The sequence below is a fragment of the Homo sapiens genome, chromosome 7 (assembly GCF_000001405.40).
Source record: "Homo sapiens chromosome 7, GRCh38.p14 Primary Assembly".
Classification (NCBI taxonomy): domain Eukaryota; kingdom Metazoa; phylum Chordata; class Mammalia; order Primates; family Hominidae; genus Homo; species Homo sapiens.
In genome coordinates, this window is record NC_000007.14 from 46,212,938 (window position 1) to 46,220,207 (window position 7,270).

Below are 7,270 nucleotides of genomic sequence, written 5' to 3' on the forward strand. Positions count from 1 at the left end.
GAACTCAAGAAAGAGAAGCTGTGGTGTCAAAGCCCCTCTGCAGGGCTGAGGATGCATTGAGGGGAATGCTGGGGAAGTTGGGAAGGCCAGGAGGGGTCTTCTCCCAGTGGGGAGGTGAGAAGGGTGAAGGCAGTTGGGACACAGGCCTGAGGCAGTGGGCTGGGCAGACCTCAGTGGCTGTTTGTGCCACTCAACACCCAGTAGCTGGTCTGAAGACAGAGTTGGAGAGGGGAAACTTAGAGGCTTTCTGCAGCCTCGTCCATAGTTTTACAATGTGGAGTTTATTACAATTCAGGGACACTGAGGCCAGCAGCTCAGGAGATGGTTTCCAGTGGAAGACAGTTTGTTACTCACAGTTCCTAAGAGAAGGGGACATACCACGCCATGCAGGGCCACATGAGAAGTACTAGAGTCACTCAGGAAGCAGAAGGAGCAGGGGAAAGTGTGGACAAGAGCTTTTATTGTGGTTTTCATGGAAAGGAACAGGTAGGGCAGGGTGGGAAGGCCTAGGATTGGGTGGTTTGAATTATTTCAGAGTGCTGGGGCAGAGGGGTTGTCCCTCATGGTCTGACAACAGGCCCTGGGGTTATTAGGGCAGGAGGACAGTGGTCAGAGTGTGAGAGCCGTAAGGACGTAGTTGGAGCTATGGGCTCTGGATTGGTTGATTGGTATTTGAAAAGTACAGATCTAATGCAGTGGGTCACGCCTGTAATGCCAGCACTTTGGGAGGCCGAGACTGGCCGATCACCTGAGGTCAGAAGGTCGAGAGAAGCCTGGACAACATGGTGAAATCCTGTCTCTACAAAAAATACAAAAATTAGCCAGGTGTAGTGGTGTGCACCTGTAATCCCAACTACTTGGGAGGCTGAGGCAGGAAAATGGCTTGAACCCGAGAGGCAGAGGTTGCAGTGAGCTGAGATGGCGCCACGGCACTTTAGTCTGGGTGACAGTGAGACTCCATCTCAAAAAAAAAAAAAAAAAAGTACATTTCTGGGTGAGTTATTTACTATCTCTAGGAATTGGCTAACCCTGAGAGTGGCAGTCCCTTGGGGTCAGCAAAGCCCCAGACGTCAATGGTTAATACATCTATGGCCCTAGGCAGCCTTGAGTGTCCAGCTTCCAAGACATTAGGGGCTGTATCTCTTTTGTGGAAGGAAAACTAGCTAAGCAAACCAAAAATCAGCCCCAAAGGATAGCTGAGCTACCATCAAGGAGACTGTCTACCCCTAGCAAATAGAAATCATTAGTTAATATGGCTTAGAACGGGTAGGTCACATGGCTCCAGCTATGGTCTTTAATGACCAGGTCGGAGATGAGCAGACACTGTTTAATGCCATTGCTTACATTAGAAGAAAATCAAACGGTGAGCTGGATTCAGAAAGCCCATCAGCTGATTTTTTTTTCTGATTATTTTCCTGCCATCATATACATAGCGAGAACATTAAAATAAAACAGGATAATGGGATTTGGTGATCAGAATTGTTTCTGCCTGTGTATTACCATTGACACCAGGCAACTTCCAACCACTGGTGGGTGAAAAGCTATATCCAGATGTACTGGGGCCAGAGCAGAAATGAGACCTCTGGGCAGATCCTGTCCCCAGCACAGGATCCCAGATGGATGTGGTGCATCCCTCCAGACAATGGGCTGCTGTGGACCCTGTGAGACCTAGTCCCTCCCTCTGTCCTTCCTTTGGTTGTCGTTCCACTAGGCCTGTAACATGCTTTTCCTGGGCATCCTCTTCTCTTCTGCAGCCTTGTCCTTCCCTGTTCAGGCACAGTTTCTTGTGTCCAAAGCTGAGACTGCATTTCCTCCTCCATAGACTCCATCTCATTCTCTGCATGATCTCTCTGAGTCTCTAGCCTGTGACCCCTTTCCTTCCAGGTGCCTAGCACATGTGCTGCCCTGTGTACTGCTGGCTCTCTGCACCTGAGCTGCCCCTTGGCCTGAGAGTTGGGTCTCTGATATAGGCTGACCCAAAGATTGTGCTCAACCAATATTCTCAGAAGTTGTTTTTTCATTTTACAGGGAAAAGCCTACATCTTTTTTTTTTTTTTTTAATTATGTGGACCAATAGTTCCAGGATACTGTACTCTTCCTTCAGTGCTGAATTTCTAAGCATGATTAATTTTGTTTTGAGGACTTCTTGGTCCTGGTTGCTAATAATGTTGAAACTTCATTACACATAGCATTTCACCTTAAGATGTAAGGTAACTCTCATGAATATCCTGTGGTGATTTGATTTCCATCCCATAAATAAAGAAACTGGGGCTCACCCAGTAAGTGGTGTGAGGAGGATTCAGTTCCACTCTTCTATCAAGCACATTCTTCTTTGCTCTTTACCATCTGAGCTAACCCTTTCCTGCAGGACACCAGCCCAGGGCACTACTAGAGCTGGGACTTGCACAGCCAGAGTACATTTTCTTCCAGGGCCCAGGGAAGGGTTTCTTGGCCTTTGCTTGGAGAGAGATTCCAAGAAATTTTCTAGAGATTCTTTCCTGGGGAAAAGGGGAATGAAAAAGAAGAGAGACAGATAGAGACAGAGAGAGATAAGAGATAAAGACATGGAGACAGATAAGGACAGAGAGAGATAAGAGATAGAGATAGAGACAGAGAGACGGACAGAGAGACACAGAGAGATAAGAGATAGAGACAGAGATAAAAAGACAGAGAGATAGATAGTCAAAGAGATAGAGAGAGAGAGAGATGTAGAGATAGAGAAACAAACAGGAAAAGAGAGGCAGAGAGATAAAGAGACAGATAGACAGAGACAGGGAGAGATCAAGAGAGCCCCAGAGGAGAAGTTCTTAGGCATCAAGTCATGGTGGAGGAGCCCAGCACACAAGGCTGTACAAGGAGCCTCCTAGGCCTTCATTCTCCCTCCATGTGCCTCCACGTGTGTAAGAACAGCCTTCGGGGGCTCACAAAAGAGGGCATCTGGGGCTCCTAAATGAGGCTGCAGGACAAAGACCCACTGGGTCTCACTCAGAACAAGGCAACCTGCTTCACCCAGCAGCAGAGAAAGGATGTTGTCAGGAGCAGAACAAGAGACTCCAGGCCGCATTCAAAGTGTTCTCTAACAAACACAATTCCAGTGGCATTGTTCCCCAATCAGAGCCCCATTGACTGAGTGGCTCTTGTTATCTGACCTTCCTGTGAATGTCTGGGAGCGCTCCGAGCCAACACAGCCTCTTACGTAAGAGGATTTTAGAAAGAGCCCTTTGTGCCAGCAGGTGGTGAGGACATATCCACGAGGGCAGGTCTTCCGCACCTTTCCTCATTTGCTGAGGGCATGAATGGCTGGGACCTGGGCCTGCAGCGGGAACAAAAGCCCATTCACAGGCACAGTCTCCGGAGAGCTCCCGCGGGATAATGCAGGGCTCTGGCTTCCAGGTTCGCAGCACGCACTGCTCCCGCCCACCCACTCCAGACTTCCGAGTGGACTCTGCAATGTGATGCTGCAGGTGGGAATACAAGTTCATTTTCCATTGTGGGAAAAAAAAATGTGTGGAAAGCATCGTCATACTATTATTCAGAAACATCTCTTCTAGACAGTTCCTCAGTCACTGAATGGCTGGGTTTGCCTGTTATACCCAGGCTCAGCTGAGGTGCCTGGGACTCTGAAATCTTCTCCACCATGCGAACACACATCAACAGGGTTAGGAGTGGATGGGCACAGCCCTGTCCTCACCTCCCACCTCTGTGCCTCTTCACGGATGCGACATTTATTCCACTCTGTTGTGTTCTAATGAGGCACCCTGATTCATCTTCAGCTTTTAGGGCCAACAATAACTCCTGCTCCCTTTTTTACCCCAGACTCTGGCCTTTTCACTAGATGTTTCCAACAAGATTAGACGCTGTTAATGCTCCAGGTGAACTATGTTCTTTTCTTGTAGGCTCACATCACATCTGTGACCTAACAGGTATGTGCAATTTTTCTTTATTGTCCTATTCTCCCCAGTGGGGAGAGGACTGTGTCTTGGTTTGCTTCCCTTGAGACCCTGTACTAGCACAGCATCAACACTGGACACCATGGGGCAAATCCAAGCTCAGCCTTCTCTGTTCTCAGTGCTCACTGTGGGCCCCCACAGTCCCCACAAACAGTGGGAATGGGCCAAGCTGTGACTCCTGAACCTGTCTCTTCCTTGGAGGGAGCTTCATACATCATGAGCACAGTGTTCTTTTTATTTATTTGTTTGTTTGTTTGTTTATTTTTGAGATGGAGTCTCACTCTGTCACCAGGTTGGAGTGCAGTGGTGCCATCTTGGGTTCACTGCAACCTCTGCCTCCCAGGTTCAAGTGATTCTCCTTACTCAGCCTCCTGAGCAGCTGGGACTACAGGCGCGTGCCACCACACCCAGCTAATTTTTGTATTTTTAATAGAGACGGGGTTTCACCATGTTGGCCAGGATGGTCTCAATCTCTTGACCCCGTGATCCGCCTGCCTCGGCCTCCCAAAGTGCTGGGATTACAAGCATGAGCCACCGCACCCAGCCGTGTTCTTTTTAATGAACTAAATAATTTAAGTAATGCAATGGAAGAAGTTGGTGGAGAATCTAATCCATTTTCCCAGTCTGGGAATCAGCAATCTCACATTTGTCCTCCTGCCTCTGCTTGCCACTTTCTCCCTTTGGTAGTCAGGTTTTTATGCGTAAATCCTGATTCGTGGAAAAGAATTAGAATTCATGGTCTACTTCTGATCCAGTGGCCTGTTAGGTTGGTAACAATCTTTATCATCAATGCAGCAACCATTCATCCTTTCCTAATGTTGGCAAGGTGTTAATTCACTAAATCCTCATAAACCACAGGATGCGGTGGGTAGCTGCCATTCTCATCCCTGTTTTATGTATGTGATAGCTGAGGTGCCCAGAGGGTCAGTCACCTGCTGGGCCACACACTGAGTGGGGAAACAGGGCTGTGGCCAGCTGGCCAGCAGGGCTGCTTGCTTAAGACACATTCTCAGCCACCCGACTGAGGTGCTCCTAGCCACAAGCCTTCGAATTCACTGTTGACACTGAGGCAAGAGATGATCCTTCAACTGAATATTGCAAAAAAGAATAACTTTGGAAATAAAGTACTAGACATGGAAATAAAAGAAATTTAGGAAACTTGTTTCCTAAGGAAAATTGTTCCTTTGCTGGGTCTGAGAGGTGACTGCACCCCTCATGAAGCATCAGGTCTGAGAGGTTAAGCCTCTCAGAGAAATATTCACAACTTGCGTGTAGGATGGACCATAGTGTGGCTATCTCCAGAAAGACAACACTGAATTGGTAAGACAGATTTGTAACAGGAAGAGGCTACTCTATTCCAAGTGGGTGTGGCCCATCCCACTATTTAATTTCTTGATTGGGTTCACATTGACAATCTTTGTCTGCCTTTTTCAGATTCATGTGAAAAGCCACTGCTACCAGCCTCTCCGTGGGGTCCGTGACATGTTCGGATGGGGATTTTGCCTTTAATGTAGTCTAGTGTCTTTTAAACATCCCTTTCTTCCTATCATTCAAATTTGTTATTATTGTCTTCTGTATTTCATAGGAAAACAAATACTGCTTGTTATATATTTCTGTTAAAATATTGCATACACTTTTGCTGTTTTGATTTTGCATCCTTTTTAAAACTCTGTGTCATGATCTTTTTATCGGACTTTAACTTTTCAAGATTTCCATGTGTGTGGGAAACAATGACTTTTTTGTCTACAAATCCCGAGTTTCCTATTGCTCTCTAAGGAAGTTGCTCTTCTGTAACAACTGTGTCAGTATTTCCATTGCCTCATACTTAATTAACATGTTTCATTCATCTGTTGCAATTATCGTTTTTTTTCCCAAAAAATGCCAGGTTTTAATATAGAGCAGTTATCCCGCGATTAATTAGAACCTTTCAGCTCACTATTCTTGGAATATCCTTTTACAATTTTAGCACCCTATAGATTATCTGAGGCTCACAAAAATGAATTTTATTGTTACTACCGAAATAGTTGGAAACAATGGGGAGTGGGAGGGATATAGATTCAGCTCTCAGAAGACGTGTGATATGCCCCGTTCCCCAAACCCTGGCCCTGTGGGGATTTCTTCATCCTTCAACGTCAGCCCACAGGATGAGGATATGATGGAATAGGGGGGTGTAGTTTACTGTCAACTTTTCTTAAATATCCCTTTTCCAACTATTCTTTGATCTCTCCCTCTCATTCTCTATGGGCAGGAAAATAGCTCACTTTTTCACATTGCACTTAAAAAAAAACAGTTGGATGCAATGGGGTCTCTCTAATCACCATGGGAGCAAGAGGACTGAGGCTTCCAGAATTGCCCATTGACTGGAGAACATTGCTGAAGATGCTGCTCTGTTTATGAATGCAGCATTTACGAATAAGACCTGCAACAACCAGAGGCTCAATGGTGGAGAAGGAGGCATCAGGCCATGAGTTACAGTTCAATGCTGTGACAAGGGGGGTGAAGTCCATGCCTAAAGCCACGGGAGATTAATGGTGCCTCTGGGCTTGTGGAAGTCTCCCTAAAAGAGGTCACATTTCTGAGAAGAGATATTTGCATACCAAGGGACTTTGGAGGTAGGCAGAGCTGTCCAGGAGTGGGAAGTCAGAAGGAGGGAGTAAACTAACTTCACCAAGTTTCACCTGGGGACCCGAGGCACAACCTCTGATGCTGGCAAGGAGTGTTCTCATCTGAACTGAGGATTACACCAATCATGGGTCACTCTAGGTGTGAGCTGTGTTTAGGAATTATACCTCAGGGGTATAGTTTAAGCAGCAATTTACCAGAAGAGTTTTCATAACTTCCCAGGTGACAGCACATTTTGGCTCTGTTAATTGAACTGGAAGCTTCCAGTTCCTGGCCTCTGTGATCCTGTGACAAAGTGACTCTGACCAGGTAACTCCTCTGTTTGGGAAAAGAGAGTCCTGCTCAGAATAGGAGCCGGAGCCTGATAGGACAGGTGGTCCCTGAAGTATCTGCTTCCCCCTCAGGGCTCCCTTGCTTCCTCCCCACTTACCCCATCTCCTGTTCTGTATATACTTTTATTTTATTTTAATCTCATTTATTGTCTGTCTTCTCCCTGGGATGTATGTTCCAGGAGTACAGGGATTCTTTTCTCTTTTAATTTCTGTAATATCCTCAGCACATATTACTTTGCCTGACTTGTAGTAGGAGCTCAATAAGTTGTTGTGGAATGAATAAATGAATTAAGTCATTGATAAATTATTCACCACTGTAACCATAATGAATTCAGATCCAGCGTGAATACTGGGTGTCCCCTAGCC

General features: G+C 46.3%; 3 annotated features.

Annotated features, from left to right (window-relative positions):
* Positions 2,814-3,315: an enhancer, noted in NCBI's record as "NANOG-H3K4me1 hESC enhancer chr7:46255349-46255850 (GRCh37/hg19 assembly coordinates)". NCBI's record gives its function as "activates a minimal SCP1, AML or CMV promoter by ChIP-STARR-seq in naive H9 embryonic stem cells {active_cell/tissue: H9 hESC(naive)}" and the evidence as "EXISTENCE:reporter gene assay evidence [ECO:0000049][PMID:30033119]".
* Positions 2,814-3,408: a biological region, named in NCBI's record as "Sharpr-MPRA regulatory region 2385".
* Positions 3,114-3,408: an enhancer, noted in NCBI's record as "tiled region #2385; HepG2 Activating DNase matched - State 5:Enh". NCBI's record gives its function as "activates a minimal TATA promoter and a strong SV40 promoter by Sharpr-MPRA in HepG2 cells {active_cell/tissue: HepG2}" and the evidence as "EXISTENCE:reporter gene assay evidence [ECO:0000049][PMID:27701403]".